Source organism: Homo sapiens, chromosome 13 (assembly GCF_000001405.40).
Source record: "Homo sapiens chromosome 13, GRCh38.p14 Primary Assembly".
Lineage (NCBI taxonomy): Eukaryota > Metazoa > Chordata > Mammalia > Primates > Hominidae > Homo > Homo sapiens.
The window spans coordinates 107,633,219-107,657,253 of NC_000013.11; the positions used below are offsets into that span (position 1 = coordinate 107,633,219).

The following is a 24,035-nucleotide window of genomic DNA, read 5'->3' on the forward strand; positions in this document are numbered from 1 at the left end:
AAGCTCTTCATGTATATGAAATACATATATAAAACACAATATAAGATGTTCTGAAAATAACATAAAATATTTTTAAAAATTGTGTCAGAGTACTCAAGAACTCATAGATAATTGCTGACCCTGAGAAAATCACGCATCTCTTCACTCCACAGTCACCTCACCAAGACAAGGAATAACTAGAATTGATCATTTCTGAGGTCATTTCAAGCTCAGTTTTTCTATCATAATGCACCATTTTATAGATGATCTTTGTGAATGACCATTCTGTTTTTGATGCTAAAATATTAGCCTATCACTTATTTTATTCCTGTCCAAGTTATTTACCTCCTACTCTGGTCTTTGTGATATCGTACATCCTGGTCCTCATAAATACCACATTAAACCCGTATAAACTTATTTTCTCTTTTATTTCCTCTTTATTAATAACAGTGTAAAAACAAATCCAGTTTTTTAACTTTATTATACATTTGTCCAATATTTTATTTTTCATATATATGTGTGTGTATATATATATATATATATGAAACACATATATATGGAAAATATATATATTTATATATGGATATATATATATTCTATATATATGGATATACATACATATCCTGTTTTACCAAATTGGTCTCATATATTTGCTCACATATATGTGTGTGTATGTGTGTGTGTATATATATATATGAAACACATATATATGGAAAATATATATATTTATATATGGATATATATATTCTGTATATATGGATATACATACATACATCCTGTTTTACCAAATTGATCTATTTGCTTTAGATACTATTATGTGCAGAGTTATTTGAATTTTCATATTTTAAAATAATCAAGATACATGTATCACGAATACTTTAGTCCTTTATGAAATTGTGTAGAATTACCAGGCTGATACCAGGTAGAGAACATCAACTGATTAATCAACAAGCATTTATTCACCAGAAAAAATGTATTTAGTGACAGACCTCTGGAAAGGGAGGCAAAGATGGTGGGGAGGCAGTGACTAACTGCCTAGTTTACTCTCCTCCCCCTTCTACATATTTATATTCCATCTAGAAAAGGTTCAGGGGTGATGAGAAATTACTTAATGGGTACAATGTATGTTACACTGGTGATGGATACCCTAAAGCCCATATTTCACCACTACACAAGCTATGCATGTAACAAAATTGCACTTGTACTCCATCAATTTATTAAAAAATAAAAGGCAAATGTAAGCATGAATTTTTTAAAAAATTAATGTATATGAACATGTCAGAAAATAATTTTTTTCCAAAATGTAGTATTTGCAACAGAAGCTTAGGAGAAGGGGAAAAGATCTTGGAGTAACATAAAATACTTAGGAAGTGGGACTTCAGCTAATGTGCAAAGGATTCAGAAAACCAGACAAAAGGAGGAACACAAATGGGAAATGATATGAAAACAGATGGAAAGGTAGTGGGTTTTTTCCACATTTCAGGGAGAGAAGGCTTAAGAAGGAGCAGAGGCAGAACTGCTGTGGTGAAAAATGTTGGGAGAATCAAGAAAAGTCAGCAATTCTCTCATCAAGAAGGAAGACAGACAGACCTAAAGGGAAAAATGCAGTGTTGATGTCACATGCTATAGCACTCTACAGAGAGCAAATGGTCTACAATGGGAACTGGATATAATGAGGGAATTACAGTCAACTTTAAGTAGAACTGTTTTAGGAAAGTGCTAGGAATAAGTCCCACAAGTAGGAGTATAAGATTATAGTTACACAAACAAGCTGAAGGGTGACAGGTATATTTGTAAATTACCTTTTCTACTTCCTATTAATCTACATCACAAGCATTAGTACACACAAGCAATAATTAATATGTTTTGGCCAAATACGAATATGTGAGTATCTTCACAATTGGTGTTCCCTCTATAAACTGGTGGGCTTTTGACTTTCACACACCTGCAAACTCAAATTCCTTTAGGTATTGATATTTACTATATTAGTTCATCCTCATACTGCTATGAAGACATACCTGAGACTGGGTAATTTATAAAGGAAAGGGGTTTAATTTACTCACAGTTCCTCATGGCTCGGGAGGCCTCAGGAAACTTACAGTCATGGCAGAAGGGGCAGCAAACATGTCCTTCTTCACATGATGGCAGGAGAGAGAAGTGCCAAGCAAAGGGGGAAACACTCCTTAAAAAAAATCAGATCTCTTGAAAACTCACTATCATGAGAACAGCAACATAGGGGTAACCACCTCCCACTGGGCCCCTCTCATGACATGCAGGGATTATGGGAACTACAATTCAGGATGAGATTTTGGTGGGGACACAGCAAAACCGTATCATTTACCCTTTAAGGCTAGCATAAGTTTCTAATGTGTTCTCTGTATGCAAGCCACTATTTACTAGCTGATTATCCTTGGACAATTCTCTTAGCCTTTCTAAACTTCAATTCCTCCATCCATAAAATGGGAATGATAATAATTGTAATGAACCTGTAGCTTTGTTTGAAAAATCAAACATAGCCATGCATGGACGACACTTAGCCCCATAAGCCGCACATGACTGTTACTTAACGTTAGTTGCAGTTATTAGCAATAGTTCCTATCAAAGCACAACCTACTAGTTGCACAGTTAATTGATTGGCTTGAATAGGGAATAGAAGCCTATCCCAAATTTGCAAGTATAATTTGGTCTTCTATAGCTTATTCAGTTATTAAATCCTAAACCTCAATAAAATTGGGGGATGTTTAGTAAGAAAAATCACATAAGTGAGCTGTAAAGAAAAGCATTTTACAGAAGTGAGAAAAGTATTTTATGGAAGGGAAAATAAATAGGGGAAGCTACCTATTAGGTTGGTGCAAAAGTAATTGCGGCTTTTGCCACTAGAAGTAATGGCAAAAACCATGATTACTTTTGCACCAGCCTGCCCTCATCAGTGCACTTGGAATCTGCACCAAAAGAAGCATGAAGCAGGTGAATCACATCCCTCCTGCACAGCGAAGAAGCAGAAGCTGTCACTACATCACACGGCCGAATTATTGAATCCATTACCCAGAATAACTTGATCAAAACCAAAGCCGCCAAACAAGATATAAACTGAAATAAAATATAGCTGAGTTTGCTCGAGCATCCATTCATTGAAAGCTTTAAAACAAACACAAATCGTTTGGAATTGTCTGGTACCAATACTATAGAACTCACAATATGGAACATTTCTTCATTGTATGGTTTTAAAAGATTGATTTGTGGGTGCCCCATCTAGACACTGATCAAGAAGACTAACATTTAACCATTTATTTTCAAGGAAAAAATGCTAAAAGATAAACCCTTTTCACTATTTCTAATTCTAGCTTCTTCTATATCATAGTCCATTTGTTCAGCTTTCTGATTGCTTTTTGAAGCAACAGATGCTTCTTACTTTTTAACTCTTCTTGTACAATTTTGTATGGTAAAGGGAAATAGACTTTAAAGTACAAAATTATAGTATTATTTAAATCAGTCTTAATTTTATAATATACTTGGTAGCCTCTATACTTTTTTCCAGTACAGCAAAGTTATTTTCTATTTTTCTTAATACTGCCCAGTATTTAAATTTCACCTTTTCTCGCACTTAAAAGTACATAATATATGAGGTAAACCTGATCCATTGATTTAATTTTGTTGTCTTCTTATGAGACTATGCTAATCTATATTATATATATTATATTATATTATATTATAGTCATGATCCACATGAAGACATTTTAGTCAATAATGAGCCACATTAAGAACAGTGGTCCCATAAGATTATAATGTAGCAGAAAAATTCCTATCATGTAAATATTATCACTGTGTTGCAACTGCCTACGGTATCAGTACAGTAAGATGCTATACAGATTTGCAGCCTAGGAGCATTAGGCTATACCATATAGCCTAGGTGTATCATAGATTATAACACCTCATTTTGCTTAAACACACTCTATGATGCTGGCATGACAAAATCAGCTAAGGATGTATTTCTCAGAACATATCTTTGTTGTTAAGCAATGCATAACTGTATATTGTATTTGTTGTGTGTGTGTGTATATATATATATAATTTATTAAGGAAAACTTTATTTGTTAAGTTGTTGGGGAATTTTATTCATGATGTAATTATTCTATTTGGGGAATTTTTATTATATTTCTCCTATACTTACAACTCAAACCATAACCAAACCACAACATAAATCTACTACTATTTCAAGGTACTTCCTTCCAAAAAGAAAAGCCTTCTCTGTGTTATATTCTAACCCCCCTAAAATGCTGCTACCTGAAGATCCCTGTGTAAACAGGCTTTAAAATCTTATTTTCTTCCTTTAGTGAACAATTAAGCTCTCAGTCAACGAACACTGCTGTGGCAGATTCATTATCCTTTTTGCCAAAAAGTACTGTACCTGACTGCCACGTGCTAGTGTGTCCAGTGCAGCCTGTGCATTCGACTGAAGCCCCTCTTTCTGCAGATCATTTTATCTTCCAACCCATGTTGGAACCAAAAGTATGCAAATGGGAGGGCTGAACCAGCCACAAATAATCCAATAAAGAGTCGCATGTGGGATGCTAAAATGCAAGTTTTTGAGAAGAAACTGAGTAATGATCTAGAAGTCTTATAAACCTACACATGTTACATGGGATCCAAAGGACCATCCCATTCTCTGTCTACCTCATCCATTTTCCTTACTTGTCTAATGTTCACTGGCATTTTAGCTTGTGATTCTTGACTTAGAGAGTCAAATTAGCCTTAGAAACGTCACCATGGTGAGTGCAAAGATGAAAACTCAACAGATTTGGTTTTAACAACTCTGTACCATACAGTGCCTTAATGACCGTAAGTCATCTTCCTGAGTTCAACTTTCCTCATAAGTGACATCTAAAAACGACATCATCTGTTCCTGCTAGAGTGTTTATGGAAATCAAACATAGCAATGAACCTATATATGAAAGCACTTGGAGTATATATCCCTATCTATATAAAGATTTATATATATATATATATATAATTTAAGATGAACATTGGGAGATATTATTTAAGATGAACATTGGCAGACTGCTTCTACCTTCCATGAAAGTGGTATCATTTATTTCCAGGAGTAGATTATTTTTTTGTTTAGCAAAACATATTACTAGACCTGTTTGTTTATGGGAGTGGAGAACTCCCACTGAGTAACCTAGGTAAGGAAAGTATGATTCATTCATTCATTCATTCATTCAACAAGTATTTATTGCATGCTGACTATATGCTGGACACCACTCAAGGTGCTGGAGGATAGCAGCGAATGAGGCAGAGGATGTCCCTGCTTGAAGGAGTCTCATAACTTGGGATAGGACAGAGGGAGAAGAGGATAAGGGACAATCACAAAGTGAGCTTATTGCTGAATAAGACAGTTTCAGAGAGTGATGCAAGCTTTGAAGGAAAAACTAATAACAGTACAAACAGCAATGAGGCAAGAGAGTAGCTGAGAAAGTTTCTACAGTAGAGTCAGGAAGACCTCTCTGAAGAGCTGGTACCTGAATCATTCAGAAGACAGCTATCTGAAGATTTTGGAGAAAAGCTCTCTGGGCAGAGGAACTGGGCTAGGCAAGGGCTGTGGGATGGGATCGAGATCCATTCGACTGAAGCACTCCAGAAGGCTAGTGAGGCTGGAGAACAGTGGGCTACAGGAAGGTGATGAGTGGTGACTTCACAGATGTAAGTGGGGCCAGATCTCGCAAAGATGGAAGAATCAGAGACACTGATGGCTGACGTCTGGCTTCCCTATATGCACATAACATGTAAATGCTTTTCATCAACAGGAGCTCAATAAAGAATTGCTGATTGATTATTATTACAACAGCTGATGGATTACAGTACATCCTCAATAAAAGCAAATTGTTCTCCTGAGAGAAATAATGAAAAAAAGCTGCTCCTATGAAGAGATAATTTACTTAATATAAGGTATTTATTTTGTTGGAAGTCAAATGGAATCCTTCTAATCCATCCTCCATGGCAGCTCAACTGACTTGCAAGGCAAAGTCTAATGCCATTCCCCTCTGCTCTTTCATAGTATATGGCCTGCAAGCTGCAGCCTGAAATACAAGACCCTGCAGTGATCTGATCCCTGCCAACTTTTTCAAACGCATCTCTCAACAAACTCACCTTCCTTTCTCCCCGATGACCCAGCCAAAAAAAACACGATAGTTCTGTAGACACTCCATGCCATGCACGCATTTGCTCATAGTATTTACTCATCCTGGAGTGTCCTTGCACTTTACCTCCAACTTACACTTTAAAAAAGTCAGCTAAATTTGTGCTTTGAATTTTTATCTAAAACACTTCCCTAACTACCCTGTCTGTACTAGCTGTTCCACTCCACGCCCTGTGCCCTGATTGCAGCCTGTGCATAGCCCCATACCACTGTGTGTTTAGGAATGTATGCTCTCCTTCTCAGACCCCAGGCTTCTTCAGGACACAGGTTTGGGGTGTATAAATCCTGGAATCACTAGCACTAAACAAACACTGACAAAGAGCAAGTCTCAACTCAGGCATGATGCCATGCCTGAAACCTCAAGTAAAGAGGGTCATGTCCAGCTCAGGTCCTTGCTGTGCTCATTGCATTCTTTTATTCTTATTTCTGTAACAATCTACAAAGTGTTATTATGAGTGATATTGTGCTCTACTCATGCTGGTATTCCTAATACCTGAGAAAGGTAGTTGGCACCTATTATTTCTTGAATATACAAATATTTGAGAATTATTTAACACATCTTATATTACAGCTGTTTTGAATTCGTCTTTATAATCAAACATCATCCAGGCAAATGCTTGATAAGATAAGGGCAAATCTTATATTCAAAAGGATTGGAATCATTGACTGTTTTAAAATATTTATTATTTAACTTGCCTTCTTGTTTTTACAGCATTGCTTTGGTGAGTGAAAAGGAAATCATTTAAAATTATAATTAAAAGAAACTTCTGCCAAAAAAAAGAAGAAAACAACTTTACACAGTGTTAAAGGTTATAAACAAATTCTATGTCTCAACCACTAAGTACTACGGCATTAGTCAGAGGAACAAAATAAAAATTATAACCTGCCCTATATAACACAGTGTACAGCTAAACTGATGAGAACATGCCTGTTTATGCTGTAGAGCAAATTTGTTAGCACTATAAAGTCAAGGCAGGGAATTTTAGAATTTAAAATAAAACGTTCCTAAATTTATAAGCTTATTTGGTTTTATTTTATTTTAACATAACATTTTTAAGATACAGTAAAATGGCATCCAAACTATTTTAGCCAACTTTCTCAGCAGCATTCTCATAACCTTTAATTTCACATCAGTTTTACTATATAAGATTTGGGATTAATAAATATGAAACAATCTATAGACCAAGTGTTCTTCAGAGATGACTTTCATCCATCACTCCATGGAAATATATCAGCCAGGGGACAATATTTGCATAAATAATTTTATAAGATTACTTTTATCTCAAGATTTCATTTGCATGAGTATTTTTTCTAAGAATAATAATAATCCAAGAAATATATTTGGTATTTGTGTTATATCACTCTGTGTGAGACCTAGGAACAATAATAATAAAAGACCCCAAAGAGAGAAGATAGCAACATTCATTGTGTTTCTCTTAGATCTTGAGACCAGTATGAGGCCCTATGGCAAGATATAAAAGATTACAAGGCATACAACTTATCTTTAAAAAGTCGGCATCCAGCAGTCTCACTGCTTGGTATACACACAAAATAAAGGAAATCAGTATGTCAGAGATGTCTGCACTCCCAATAGCCAAAATATGAAATCAACCTATGTCCATCAATGGATAAATGGATAACTAAAATATGGTATTGACACACAATGAAATATCTACTTGGTTATAAATAAATGAAATCATCTTATTTACAGCAACATGGATGCAACTGGAGGTGATTATGTTAAGTGAACTATTTTAAGAACACAAAGATAAAAATCTCATGTTCCCACTCATATGTGGAAGCTAAAAAAGTAGATCTCATGGAGGAAGAGGATAGAGTGGTGGCTCCCAGAGGCTAGGAAGGGTCAGATGGAGGAGGATGAAGACAAATCGTTAATGGGTATGAAAATACCATTCGATACAAGGAGTAAGTTCTAGTATTCAACAGCACAGTAGAGAGACAACAGTTTGCAATAATTTGTTGCTTATTTCAAAATAGCTAAAGGTTAAGAATTTGAATGTTCCCAACCCAAAAAAAGATAATTGAGGTGATGGATAAGTCCACTATCATTATTTAATAATTACACATTGTATGCATTTATCAAAATATCACTTGTGCCACTATTATACATTCATTTAAAAAAATAAACATGAGTCATAATTTTAGTTGGAAAAAACAAATAGAGATTTGGAGATAAAAATAATAGTAACATCAATAATAGCAACAATGGGCAAAAATGATGGCTTAGTTACCACCATAGGCAAGATATTACTATTGTAAGGCCTTGAATTGAATAGTCGGAGTCTCTAAGTCTCAATTTGACAGGTTCCTGGATGGCAGATCTTGTATCAGGCCTCACAACCTGAACCGTGGCTGGGGGCCAACTCAGCAGGAGCAAGCGAGATCAAGAATCTAGGGGGATTTATGAACCAGGTTTCAACACCACATGGTACTTCTCAAGCGTTTCTGTATATTACAACCCCCTGGAAAACTTCAGCAAACCCCAAACCCAAATCTCATACCACACCCATTAAATCCAGATATCTCAGGGATGAGATTTGGCATCGGTAGCTTCTATATATAGCTTTCCAGGTGACTGCAATGTGCAGTGAAGAATGACAAACCCAGTGCTGAGACCAGGTAAGGTCCTCAGACCAGCAGCATCAACTGGCCTGGGAGCACGTTGGAAAGGCAGCATCTCCCCGACCCACTGGATTAGAATCTGTATCTTAATACAATCCCCAGGCAATTTTTATGCACAGTAAAAGCTGAGACGCTCTGCTTCCAACAACTATGAAAGGTAGGAGGAAGTAGTTGCCATAATTCATGGAATTACATTTTCACTAAAAGTGAAGGCAGAGTTTCACTTATTTATTTCTCTATTATTCAGTTAACTGAGCTAAAATATTGGCTATGCCCACACAATAAGAATATATCTGAATTGAAGTCAGCATTTATCCATGCATCCAACAAACGTTTAAGTCAATGCCATGCATCTGGCACTATATAAGGCATTATAGAATTTTGGTTTCCAATGAATAAAAAAATAGACATCATATGCCCAGCATATAAGATGTTAATCATTGCATACATTGCATGTTGCTGAGCTGAAATGGTCTATTTTGTTTATTCACAACAATCAATTCTTGATATTTAGCTATGTCAACATATAGCTCCTGAAAATATCACTAGGATTCATCTTAGTCAAATTTCTATTTATCTATTTCAGAAATGTGTAGTTTTTGTGGAAGGACAGACACCAGCACATCACAGAGGGATACATACATAGGTAAAAAGATCACAAAGACCCACGTTAGATGATAATGGGGAAAGGAAAGAGAGTTGAGCATACAGTCAGTGCCTAACACTTAACATAGCTATAGCACATTGTTTATCGTGAACAAATGCCTTAATCATTCTCCTTATGTTGTATGTGCTCATGCCAGAACCCCTTTTAACTTCACTTAAAGAGCTGGCTATTGTGTTCTGCTCTTAAATTGGCTGTTTCAGGAAAAGGAGCTGATGCAGAAGCATCGCATTGGAGTTTCTGCCTTGCCCTAATTTCCACATGGATGAGGGTCACAGCACATGCAGGCAGATGGCACATATCATGGAATAAGACAGCATCCCACACAGCTGACTGTTGGCTGAAGAGCAGGCGTATGTCATCAGGTTTCGCAGTTCATTCTCCGTTAGGGGCACCCAGCCAAAGCACACTGGGAAATGCATTCACCCATCCAGACAGAGTCCGCCATGGGTTATGGTCTTCACTTAATTCCCAAGAAGATGTTTATGGCCTGGTGATGATTGTACTCAAGAACACAGTGATGTTATACTTAAGTTACAAACACAAATGCTTTTGCTAAAATGATTATTTCCATTGATGAGGTGGCTAACTGAATGAAATTAGAGATAAGAAATAATAGACTTAAGGTATTAGTATAACCAAAGAAGAATGTGTCAGCGAGGAGGGCTAGCAACCATAGTTTAATAAACTCTTCCCATTCAAAACTGGAATATGACACAGTTATTTATAATTATGGTTTCAAAGATGTGTAAGTTACAGGAAGGGCTTCCAAATAGAGATAAGAAAAACTCAGGACATAGAAATGTAAATACAGTATAATTTCCATATACAGTGTATTTGGTGGGGGGGGGGTGAAACGAAATGACAATTTAAAATATGAAATCGTTTTATTTGGATCAAAGGGAACAAATAAAGGGGGAGGATTATTAGAAAAATAAGCAATTTTATTTTCTTAATGGTTTTTTAGTTTTCGAGTCTTTACATGTTACTTTTTATGATGAGAAAAAATACATTTTCAATTTTGAAAGTGGAGAAGGTTTGCTGAACCACAGAGGAAGTAGTACCATGCCTAATGCCAAAAATCATTTGACTCAAACTAAATCCCTTTGTGCATCCCCTTCTGATAATTCACTTCCTGTGCAGCCTCAAGGGAGATCCAGGTGGGTCAGAGCTTGGTCTGCCCATCAGCTAGATTTTCCATTGAGAGAGAGAAGTTGAGAGTCAGGAGACTGAAACTCCTCCTGCCACTGAGTTTCAGATGATTTTTTTTTTTTTTTTTGCCAAAATTTTTTATTTGAGCACATGCAAATTTCTGAAGAATTACAAATGTGTAATTTATTTACATGACTTATTTTTGACAGATATTTATTTTTAAGTAGAAAAATCACAAGTCTATATATGGATGAGGATAATTTATAAACCTAATACCATAAAATTTACGTCTTCAGAAATACTCATCTCAAGAATATCTCTTTAAAAATACATGTAACATTTTAATACAGAATAAAATACAGAACGCCAAGGTGAATTTTTAATGATAGGTTTACACAGTTGTGTGATAGCTTCTGTTGACATAAGGTTTACACAGTTGTGTGATAGCTTCTGTTGACACAGGAAACACTACTACATACTCAGAAACATACGTCTATTACTTCCCATTTTCACAATAGCAACCAGGTTTAATATTATTTCCCCTGTTTACAGACACGGAAACTCAGGTTAAAAAAAAAAAAAATCTATCCAGTGCTAAGTAGCCAATAAATGGCAAAGACTGAACTTGAACCCATATCTAATTAACTTTAAATCATGTGCATTTTCTACTCAACCACTCTCCACTTGGCTACTTAATGCATTCTTCTAGTTAATTTTAGCATCACAGGACAGAAAAAAATACCTTTAAAAAAGACATTTAGAGTGTGTGTGTGTATACATACATACATACATACATATATATATATATATATATGCTTTCACTTAAGTTGCAAATCATAGCATGCTCCAGTAGTATAAGGAAACTGTTCATAGGTCTAAAACATGGTCTTAAACATATTTTTAAGTGTTAATGTTTAAAGTAACTCTTTAACCGTACAGAAAGAAAAGTGAACACACCTCTGGAACCACCACCCAGATCAGTGATGATCCTTGCCTCATACTGCTGTACAGCAAAAATAATCACTGCCGTAGATGTGTTTTGGCTGTCTTTTGATCTTTATACACACAGAATCATATATTTTATTTTCTACTGTGTCTATCTTCTTGCTATTTTGTGTATTAAGAGGTCATCCAATTGCTTTGCTTTATCTTATTGTATAAATGTACTACAATTTATTTGGTATTGCCACCACTGATGAGCATTTAGAGTTTCCAGTTTTAGACTATTATAAATAATGCTGCTATAAATACATGTGAGCATTTTCATTAATGTACCTAGGAGTCAAGTTGCTGAGTCTTAAGGATGTATATATTTGGCTTTAATAGGCACTGCCAAACTGTTCTTCAAAGTGATTGCTGACAACACCACAAGCAGTTACAGTTGCTCCACATCCTCACCAACACTTAGTATTGTCCTTTTCATTTTAACCAATCTGAAGGATATAGAAGTATCAAAGTGTTTTTCAGTGTGCATGTTTTTGATGACCCTGGTAGCCAGAATAATGTCCCCACCTTCAAAGATGTTCACCTTTTCATCCCCAGAATCTGTGAAGATTTTATCCAATTTGGTACTAATTGCCAAATGGAATGCTGTTACTATTTATATGTTTTACTGATTTTAATCAGTTTAACTCACCCAATTGTTTTGGGTTTAGGTATGCTATATTAGTATTTACAACCTGTTTATCCTATCCACTTAATACAATTTTTATCTCTTTTCTTGTCCTGTTTTGACAACAGAGAGCCTGGGTAGTTTTCTACAAATTCTCCTCTGCAAGTTATGAACTCAAATTTCTCTGTCTCTACCACCATGCAAATACTGGGAGACAAAAAAAAAAAAAAAAAAAAAAAAATCCCTGTTTTACTCTCCAGCTGTTCTGTGCCTGGTTTCTTAGACTTCTGCCCTGAGCAGCTTAATCAGCAAATAACTGAAGGCAAAACCGGCACCATGTATTGACTTTATTTCCTTGTGCTTTTCTCCTCTCTGGGATTTTAATTTCTCATTCCCGAGTATCATAGCAAAATTCAATTCCAGGTTTTTGCTCCCAAACTCCAAGAGGTTGCAGTAAGTTCAGATGCTCGTTCTGACTCTTGGTAGCCACTCTCAACCTGAGTTCTGGGAGTTCTTGGTTTCTTACCCTGCATCAGCAATCAGCAAATCACACTATGGGGAAAACAGGATGCAGCAAACTTGCCTCACAAAAACGGGCTTCCCTGCTCTTGGTAACAGCCCTTCTAGCACTGACCAGTCAGCACTGAGAGTTTTACACATCTTTTAAAATTGCATCTAACGTTTCTAGATGTTCTCAGTGGGAACGCTGGTCAACAAGCTATTCCTTTATAACTAAAATAGTAATTTTACCTTTCAGATGAAGAACATTAACACTTCCTATCCTGTACTCTTTCACATACACTCCCTGGAAAACTGCCAACTTCTTAAAAAAAAAAAAAAGCAACAAAATGGTGTAGACAGGTAAAAACCTTTCACATTCACATCCTAACATAATAACAGTAGTATCTTCCAAATGATGCAGTGAAATAAAATGTCATCTGATGGGATTTTCGTCTTTTCTAAAATTGAGAAGCCACTGCCTTAAAATAAACTGCCTGAAGAGATGCTGATCCCTTCTTTTCTATTGTTTTTCCTTCTTATCCTATATTCTCACAGGTAAAACGACCAGTGACTCAACGCATTGTTGATTAGAGGACCTAGATTATTTCCTTATTCTTAATTACTGAGTAAAATATTTTCACATGAATTTTTTCTCTATTAATGTAATCTGTATAATAATGTGTTTGATTTCTAATATAAAATAAGTAACACTCTACATCAATCAATTTGATGAGACTCCTGAATTTAGCTGTATTTAATCATGGCATAGGTATAATATAAATCTTTTTACATTGACAGCTATCTTTAAGAGCTTGTCAGTAAAATTTATGAGGTTAATTTATGAATATATGAATTCATTAGTTTAAATCAGAGTGTTCTCATTAGGAAAGAAATTCATATGGTGATTCTTTTTTATTTTCTAAAGGACAATGATTTGTATTTACATAATATTTTAGTAAAGATTTGACATCACATCAAAAATTAAAATGCACTCACCTGTTGACCAAGCAAGTCTACTAATATGAATTTACAGATATTACCACTCATTGGGTAAAGACTTACATACTAGAATGCTTATTGTAGCTTTATTTATAAATCAAAAGTTTGGAAATATCCTAAAGAGACTGGTTAAATACATGATATTATATGTAATCAGTGAATCACTGTGCAGATTGAGGTAATTTATATATAATAATATGAGCAATCACCAAAATGTTGGTAAAGAAAACAAAACGAAAATGGAATTAAATGCAAAGGAAGCATAAGATGAGGATGTTCCCTGGAAAAATACAAGAACATGAATAAATCCTGTCTCTTCCCTCACTCTATGCCCTCAGTAAAGAGTTAGTTTTCAAAATTTTGTCCTTTTTTACCATACAGACAAGATGCATTTTCACTAAAAATATTCTACTAAATCAAAAAAGAACCTCATCATGTTGACACTTGCAGCTCCAGTTCATTCCTTTTAAATTCTTGCATGGTGTACTATGTTTTATCGAAAAAAAAAAAAAACTTAAACCTTCCCCTACTGATGGACATATAGATTGTTTCTACAAAGGCAGAATTGCAAACATAACAATCCCATGAAACCTTAATAACATAAGATGCTGCTTAAAATTAATAAACTTTTGTATTAAAAAAGGTATGTACTTTAGAATTAGTAATGTCCTCCGGTGACAACTTGTATGGCCTGAACAAGTTACTAATATCTGAGTTCAATTTGTCATAAATAAATAGAGGAGAAAAATGTAAAAAGGAATTACTTTAAATATAATTAAGGAATATTTATATTATGGGTGTATAGTAAACATTACATAATGCAAACAACTGAGTTAAATATTACATTTTCCAAATTTTAAGCCATTGAGCTTCTTCACATATTTGAAATGGGGGAATATATGTTATTTCAAAACTGATCTACCTAGGCATTTATTTTTTAAAACTGAGCTTAACAAATTTTAAAAAGCTACCCTAATTTTTACCTGAAGATTATAGAAAAGAGTAATTTGTTTCAAAATTATGTGTATTACAAAAAGCTACAAATGATAAAAACAAGTAGTATTGTTTTTTAATCAATGAGTTACATTTTACAGATTTCAGTATACAGAAAAATTGGGCAGAGTATACAGACAGTCCCATATGTCACCCCCCATACACATCTCCCTTGTTGTCATCTCACTACATTTGTTACAACCGATGAATCAATATTGACAGATTATGATTAACTGAATTCCCTCATTCACATTAGGGTTCACTCTTTGCATTGTGCAGTTCTATGGGTTTTGACAAATGCCCATCGTCATGGGTCCACCATTACAGTATCATACAGAATAATTTCACTGTCATAAACATCCTTTGTGCTCCACCTGTCAATCCCTCTTCTCCCTCCAAATCCACGATAACCACTGATTTGTTTACTCTCTATACTGCTGCCTTTTCCAGAAAGTCAGGTAGTTGTAATCATGCAGTACATAGCCATTTCAGATTGGCTTCTTTCACTTAGCCATATGCATTTAATGTTTATCTGTGTCTTTTCGCAGCTTGATAACTCATTTCTTTTGAGCCCTAAATAATATTCCATTGTATAGATATACAAAAGTTTGTTTATTCATTCACCTATTGTAGGACATCTTGGTTGCTTCCAAGTTTTAGCAAATATAAATAAGCCTGCTATAACACCCACATGCAGGTTTTTGTGTGAGTATAAATTTTTAATTTATTTGAGAACATACCAAGAAGACTGATTGCTAGTTAATATGGTAAAAATGTTTAGTTGTGTATGAAACTCTCAAATCATATTTCAAAATAGCTGAACCATTTTGCATTCTCCCTAGCAGTGAATAAGAGTCCCTGTTTATTCACATCCTTGCCAGCATTTGCTGTTGTCATTGTTTCCAATCTTAGGCATACTAATAGGTGTGTGGTGGTATCTCATTATCGTTTTAATTTATGTTTCCCTACAACATGCAATGTTGAGTATCTTTTCATCTGCTTATTTGTCATCTTAATATTTTCTTTGGTGAGGAGTCTTTTCAGACCTTTTGCCCATTTTTAAATTTGTACTGTTTGTCTTTGTTGTTGAGTTTTAAGAGCTCTTTTTACATTTTGGATAAAAGTCCCTTATCAGACATATGTTTTGTAAATATTTCCCCCAACCTATGTTTTATTTCTTCATTCTCTTAACAGCACAGTTTTTAAATGTTAAATAAATAGTATACCACCAGTTATACTATTAACTAACTTTGTTACTTTCCTTTTCATCCCACCATGTGGGAACTGTCAATCTTCACTGTTTATGCAGATATGCAGATTCTCATACACAGATTTTTACATCTTGAGTCATACCTCTGTAGATTAAAACATCAAGAAGCATATGAATATGGAATTCAGCAAGAGCTGTATTCTGTTTGGTTTTCAATGCTATGTGATAAAATTTATATAATCTTTTTTTAAGATGTACTGGCTATGCAGTTGTGTTTTCTCCAGTTATATTTTATTTTGTTTAAAATGATTGAATCAGATATTTTCTTTGCCACACATGTACAATTAAGTCCTGGGTTGTAGAGTTAATTATTTCATATAAATTACCTTTCATGAGAGGCATATTTAGTGAATGCTACATATACTTACCTTTATTCAATCCTCTTTATGTGCAAATAAAGGTTTTCAAGTAAGTGGTAAGTTGAACAGTCACAGAAAATAAAAACAGTGTATCCTGGAAAATTATTTTTTAAATGTCATGGCCACCTTGAATGATAATTAAAAGGAAAGCTACAATATAACTGAGATAGTACAGGGTATTCAACTTTGTATATAAGAGACTTTCTGTCTTTTAGGAAACTATATTTTGTGGTGTGCTGTGTCCTGCAGTCTATACCAAAAAAGGTGACCCTAACTAAGCATCGTGATTCAAATACAGGTTAGGCCCTGGCCCCTACCCGTCAGCTTGCCATCCAAAATGATAATGCTACATGGACTGTTATCAATACTTGTAAGTTACTTTGGCCAATAAATTATAGAACTTAAAGAACTACAGATTTTAAAAAATACTTGAAAAGGCACTCTGGATTTTAAGCAGATTAAATTTGCCCTGCTGATTCTCCCATTTTCAAAATGAGTATTTTAAAAGTTGCCTGTTAAGTCAAAGATCGGAGTTTTTGTCCCTGGTGGCATATCCTACACTGTCATTAATGATATAGTTTCGATTTATCTGATAAGGTAAAGTCATTACAGATGCCCCCCAAGTCGATAGTGCCTGTCTAGGAAGGTCACCTGACAGAACCAGGGTACCCCTGGCCACCCGGACCTGGCCTGAAGGGGGCGAGCGATGAGGCTGCGCCACCTAGTGGCTGCGACTTCGAGTCTCCTCTAGCAAAATCAGATGTTCTTGGCCAACGTTGCCATTTGAACGGTAATCTCTGCAACCATTAAAAAAAAAAAAAAGGAACAAATTAACAGCATTTGCAGTGACCTGGATGAGACTGGAGACTATTATTCTAAGTGAAGTAACTCGGGAAGGGAAAACCAAACATCGTATGTTCTCACTGATAGGTGGGAGCTAAGTTAGGAGGACACAAAGGCATAAGAATGATACAATGGGCTTTGGTGACTTGGGGAGAAGAAGAGAGGGGAAAGGGAAAAAAACTGCAAATATGGTGTGGTGTATACTGCCCGGGTGATGGGTACACCAAAATCTCACAAATTACTACTAAAGAACTTACTCGTGTAACCAAATGCTACCTGTACCCCAATAACTTATGAAAAAATAAAAATAAAAAATAAAGAAAGAGATCATGTCTTTTGCCAGAATATGAATGGAGCTGGAGACTATTTCATCCTTAGCAAACTAACACAGGAACAGAAAACCAAATATATCATGCCTCACTTGTAAGTGGGGGCTAAATGATAACAGCTTATGAACACAGAGAAGGAAATAAGAGACACTGGCGTCTACTTGACGGGGGAGGGTGGGAGGAGGGAGAGGAGCAGAAAAGATAACTACTAGATACTGGGCTTAGTACCTGGGTGATAAAATAATCTGTACAACAAACCCCTGTGACATGTGTTTACCTATGTAACAAACCTGCACATGCACCCTCAAACCTTAAACAAAGGTTAAAAAAATAAAGAATTATAAATTCATTGCTTTATTTGATTTGTTTAATGATGAGATAAAAGGAAAATGAGTTACTGTGCCTGCTTCATATGTGGAGAGAGAGTAAGACCTTGCTGAGAGCCACATGGTACATAACCTCTGGCCTTTGACATTTAGTCCCGGGCTGTTTCTGTTCTGTATTCTTTACTTGCACGGAGCAATAGTCAGGAAGCAATGACCATAGGTCATGCCAGGGATGCTTTAAAACTCTGTGCTTTTCTAATTACACAACGTCGAAATGTCAGGCCACAAAACTCAATTTTTTGTTACCTTATTTGAATAAATATCTGAGATTTTCATCAGTATTTTGATGTCCTAGAGACTTGAGTTGCCTCTTTTTGTGAGGGTTGGGAGTTCTCTGAAATAAGCAAAACTATGTTTGAAAGTATTAAGATCATAATGCTGTTGCAATAATGAAAACCTCTACTGATACATGTATTAAATGAATATTTTAAAACTAGCCTGTTCCACAGGATGGAGTATTAATTAGTTTTGAAATGGAGCAGACATTTCAGCTTACTTAACTCTTCTCAGCAAATAAAACTGATGTCCCACCCACACCTTCACCTTCCAGGACTTCCCGCTGTCTCTGAACTCAGCTTGTTATGTGAGGTTCCTAAGGAACCATTCCACAAAACTGTTTGCAATATACACTTGAGGATTACTACAGTTCAAGTATTGAGATCTAGTCTAATTAAAATAAGACATCAGAATAGAGGGAAGGATGGAAAGAAGTAAGGAGGCATCTTACTCTCTGATGTTCAGTTCTTCAACCAGGACTCTAGAGACTGCTCTTTGCGAATATATCAAAGCTAATTTTAAACTTGAAAGTTTTCCATTTTAATGAATGTGAGATCATAAACTAGAAGACTTAAAAAATCTTTATAGATATAAACATGTTTAACTCTATAAATAACTTTATTATGCTTTGCTGAAGAAAATACTTATGATGCAGAACTGACTTCAATTTCTAGCTTTAGCACTAAAAAAAGACGGAGTACTCTTCTGTTACTTGGACTGGGACTTTGGACAATTCACTTAAGCTTTTGGTCCACAGTTTAATCAATGCAATGGGGAGATTGGATTACCTAAGGATTTAACTCTGTCCCATTTAAATTTCTGTGATTCTGAGTTGTGTGCAATTACACTGCTCTATTTGTCATTCTGGCCTTTGTTATTAAGATTGTTTAAAAGGTCATTATGTGCTTAATGACTTTTAACATATTTAAATGTTATTATTAGAGAAATAGTTATGGTTCTTCAAAGTTGAAGATAACTAAATATAATATTGTTTTAAATTTTAAGCTTTCTTTAACATATACACAATACATAGCCAAAGTCCCTTCTCCTATGAAATTCAACATATTTACAACTTTTGGAAATTCATGATTGGACATCTTTGAGTGGCATTATTTTGCACACAGAAGTCAGCCTCCCTAGCCCCAAAGGATGGTGCCCATCCCACATGTAAAATGAATCCAATCCCATCCTAATATCCCCCAAATCTCAAACCATTACAGCATGAACTCAAAATCCTAAGACTCGTCAGCTCAGAACTCCCAAATTTCATCATCTAACTCATTAGGCATTGTTCGGATATAGGCATGGGCTGTTTCAACTGCAACATTCCAGGAGTGAGATTTTACTTCCATTTTATTCTGCCTGCCCCTGTGCCAACAAACTAATCATCCTTATGTTATCAGTAAAGGCCTTTCTCCTTGGAATTACTTTTAGATTATCTCTTTTCACAATATGGAAACATCAATGATTAGAAGCATTGTGCCATTTGGTGCCTCAAATTGCTGGAATCTGAATTTATCCACAGTCTCTTCTATGTTCTAAGTTGCTATTATTTATTTTTCATAACTTCTGCCAAAAATGTTTCAACAAAGATACACGGGGGTTGAAGGACACTTCATTCATAAACAATGGCAGAAAAGATGGTAAAACACTCCTGGTATCTTTATGTGTTGCTTTTAGTTTTAGACTACCATGAACAAAAATGAACATTTTTAAGTATTTGTAAGAACATGACATTCGAAGGAAAAACAATCTATGCTTTATTTTACCACATTAAATTAGATTAAACACATTAAATTTGTATATTAAGTTGTGTATTTTCATGTTAGTCCAATAACAAACGAATTCTCTCATATTCTGTTTGTTTTATCGTAGGGGGAGAAGGAAATTGGGAGTTACCCTACAGGGACCAAATTCACTGAAAGTTTCCTGACTGTTGAAAGAGAAAATTAGGTAATAGAATTATCTGCCTACTTTTACACTGAGGAATCATTTATTTTAGTCCCTAGTCATCTAACACCAATAAATATAATCAAGCCTCTGCTGTTCTTAGCAGAGAGGTATTTTTTTTTTTATTATAAAATAGTGTGGAGAAATGTTGGCATCTGTCAGCAATGTCACTAGCTCTAGTTTTTTGTTTTTCATTTCAATGCATTTGACCTCTTCATATAGATAGGCCATCCCTGAATAGAATATATTCTCTCTACTTCTACCACGGTGCACAAAAAGAACAGGAATCTATGAGAGATGACCTTCATGACTCTAGATCCCAAAAGACCACCTCAGCTGCCCAATTAGAAACAACTCCAGAGCTATTTTTGAGGTCAAAATTACTTGACTCTCATAGGGCTCCCCATCTCACACCACACACACAATAACAGAAAGAAATGGTAAATAAAAATAAAAAGTTTAAGCAAGTAAACTCCTATCTAACAAAGGTAAGGAAAAATACAACAACAAAGTCCTCAAAAATATCTTCTTTCATTTGCAACTCAGAAAACAGCATTAAAGAAAAAACTCAAGCAATTATTTGATTTTCCAAGTTATTTTGTTTCAAAAAATTAGTGACTAATAAATCAAAACCCAAATCCATCAGAAGGAAGGAAATAATGAAGATCAGAGCAGAACTAAATGGAATTGAAACAAAAATATATAAAAGATAAATGACACAAAAAGCTGGTTCTTTAGAAAGATAAATAAAATTGACAGACCATTAGTGAGATTATCCAAGAAAAAAAGAGAGAAGATCCAAATAAGCTAAATTAGAAATGAAATGGAAGATATTATAACTGACACCACAGAAATACAAGATTATTCAAGGCTACTGTAAACACCTTTATGTGCATAAGCTATTAGATTAGTGAAAAAGTAACTGTAGTTTTTGCATTACTTTTAATGGCAAAAGTAGGCGCTTAGCAATGCCATTACTTTTAATGGCGAAAACTGCGATAACTTTTGCACAGTAGAAAACCTAGAGGAGACGGATAAATTCCCAGAAATGTACAACCCTCCTAGATTAAGCCAGGAATATATAGAATCTCTGAACAGATCAATAACAAGCAGTGAAATCGAAATGGTAATAAAAAAAATTGGTCAACAAAACAAAGCCCAGGGCCAGGTGGATTCACAGCTGAGTTCTATCAGACATTCAAAGAGTTTGTACTAATCCTATTGACACTATTCCCAAAGGCAGAGAAACAGGGAATCCTCCCTAAATCATTCTATGAAGCCAGTATCACCCTAATACCAAAACCAGGGAAGGACATAACAAAAAAAAAAGAAAACTACAGACTAATATCCCTGAAAAACATAGATGTAAAAATCCTCAATAAAATACTAGCAAAATGAGTTCAACTGCATATCAAAAAGGTAATCTACCAAGATCAAGTAGGTTTCATACCAGGGCTGCAGGAATGGTTTAACACACCTAAGTCAATAAATGTGATACACCACCTAAATGGAATTAAAAACAAAAATCACATGATCATCTCAACAGACGTAGAAAAAGCATTTGACAAAATCCAGCATCCCTTAATGATTAAAACCCTCAGCCAAATCGGTATAGAAGGGACATACCTTAAGGTAATAAGAGTCATCTACGACAAACCCACAGCCAACATTATACTGAATGGGGAAAAGTTGAAATCACTCCCCCTAAGAACTGGAACAAGACAAGGATGCCTACTTTCACCACTTCTACTCAGCATAGTACTGGAAGTCCTAGCCAGAGCAATCAGACAAGAGATAAAAATAAAGGGGATGCAAATCGGTAAAGAGGAAGTCAAACTGTCGCTCTTTGCTGATAATATCATTGTGTACCTAGAAAACCCTAAAGACTCATCCAAAAAGCTCCTAGAACTGGTAAATGAATTCAGATTCAGCAAAGTTTCAGGATACAAAATTAATGTACACAAATCAGTAACACTGTTAATCACCAACAGTGACCAAATTGAGAACCAAAATCAAGAATTCAACCCCTTTCCAAATAGCTGCAAAAAATAAAATAAAGTACTTAGGAATATACCTAACCAAGGACGTAAAAGACCTCTACAAGGAAAACTACAAAACACTGCTGAAAGAAATCATAGACAACACAAACAAATGGAAACACATCCCATGCTCATGGATGGCTAGAAATTAATATTGTGAAAATGACCATACTGCCAAAAGAAATCTACAAATTCAAAGCAATTCCCATCAAAATACCATGATGATTCTTCACAGAACTAGAAAAAATAATCCTAAAATTCACATGGAACCAGAAAAACAGCCTACATAACCAAAGCAAGACTAAGAAAAAAAAAATTGTGGAGGCATCACATTACCTGATTTCAAACTATACTATAAGGCCATAGTCACCAAAACAGCATGGTACTGTTATAAAAATAGTCACATATACTAATGGAACAGAATAGAGAACCCAGAAATAAAGCCAAATACTTATAGCCAACCAATCTTCCACAAAGCAAACAAAAACATAAAGTGGGGAAAGGACACCCTATTCAACAAATGGTCCTCGGATAATTGGCTAGCCACATGTAAAATAATAAAACTGGATCCTCATCTCTCACCTTATACAAAGATCAACTCAAGACGGATCAAAGACTTAAATCTAAGACCTGAAATCATAAAGATTCTAGAAGGTAACTTTGGAAAATCCCTTCTAGACATTGACTTAGGCAAAGGCTTCATGACCAACAATCTAAAGGCAAATGCAAAAAAAAAAAAGATAAATAGATGGGACTTAACAAAACTAAAAAGCTTCTACACAGAAAAAGAAATAATCAGCAGAGTTAACAGGACCACAGAGTGGGAAAAAATCTTCACAATCTATACATCTGACAAAGAACTAATATCCAGAATCTACAAAGAACTCAAAATAATCAGCAAGAAAACCACAAACAATCCCATCAAAAAGTGAGCTAAGAACATGAATAGACAATTCCCCAAAAAACATATACAAATCATCAACAAACATATGGAAAAATGCTCAACATCACTAAAGATCAGGGAAATGCAAATCGAAACCACAATGCGATACCACCTCACTTCTGCAAGAATGGCCATAATCAAAAAAATCAAAAAATAATAGATGTTGGCATGGATGCAGTAAAAAGGAACATTTTTACAATGCTGGTGGGAATGTAAACTGGTACAGCCACTATGGAAAACAATAGGGGGATTCCTTAAAGAACTAAAAGTAGATCTACCTTTTGATCCAGCAATCCCACTACTGGGTATCTACCTAGAGGAAAAGAAGTCATTATATGAAAAAGATACTTGCACAAGCATGTTTATAGCAGCACAATTTGCAATTGCAAAAATATAGGACCAGCCCAAATGTCTATCAATCAATGAGTGGATAAAGAAAATGTTATACACACCATGGAATACTACTCAGCCATAAAAAGGAACAAAATAATGGCATTCGTAGCAACCTAGATGGAATCGGAGACTACTATTCTAAGTGAAGTAACTCAGGAATGGAAAACCAAACATTGTATTTTCTCACTCATATGTGGGAGCTAAGCTATGAGAACACAAAGGCATAAGAATGATACATTGGACTTTGAGGACTGTGTGGGGGTGTGGGGTTGGGGGAAGGGTTGAGGGTGGTGAGGGCTAAAAGACTACACATTGGGTACAATGTACACTGCTCAGGTGATGGGTGCACCAAAATCTCAGAAATCACAGCTAAAGAACTTATTCATGCAACCAAACAATACCTGTTCGCCAAAAACCTATTGAAATAAAAAAAAAATTAAACAAAAATTTAAGTTACATTTTCAGTTTCAAACTTTTTCCTGAGCCCCAGACCCATGTATCCAGTTTA

General features: G+C 35.2%; 1 protein-coding gene across 1 annotated transcript in view, besides 1 other annotated feature; it reads right to left on the bottom strand.

Annotated features, from left to right (window-relative positions):
- NALF1 (NALCN channel auxiliary factor 1) overlaps positions 1 to 24,035 on the bottom strand; it is a 703,987-nt gene that overhangs the window by 469,709 nt on the left and 210,243 nt on the right. The gene's annotated exons all lie outside the window — the stretch shown is intronic.
- Positions 23,292 to 23,461: an enhancer, noted in NCBI's record as "experimental_31780 CRE fragment used in MPRA reporter constructs". NCBI's record gives its function as "activates a minimal promoter by MPRAs in K562 erythroleukemia cells, with activity observed for both the introgressed and non-introgressed 13:108308943 variant alleles {active_cell/tissue: K562}" and the evidence as "EXISTENCE:reporter gene assay evidence [ECO:0000049][PMID:34662402]".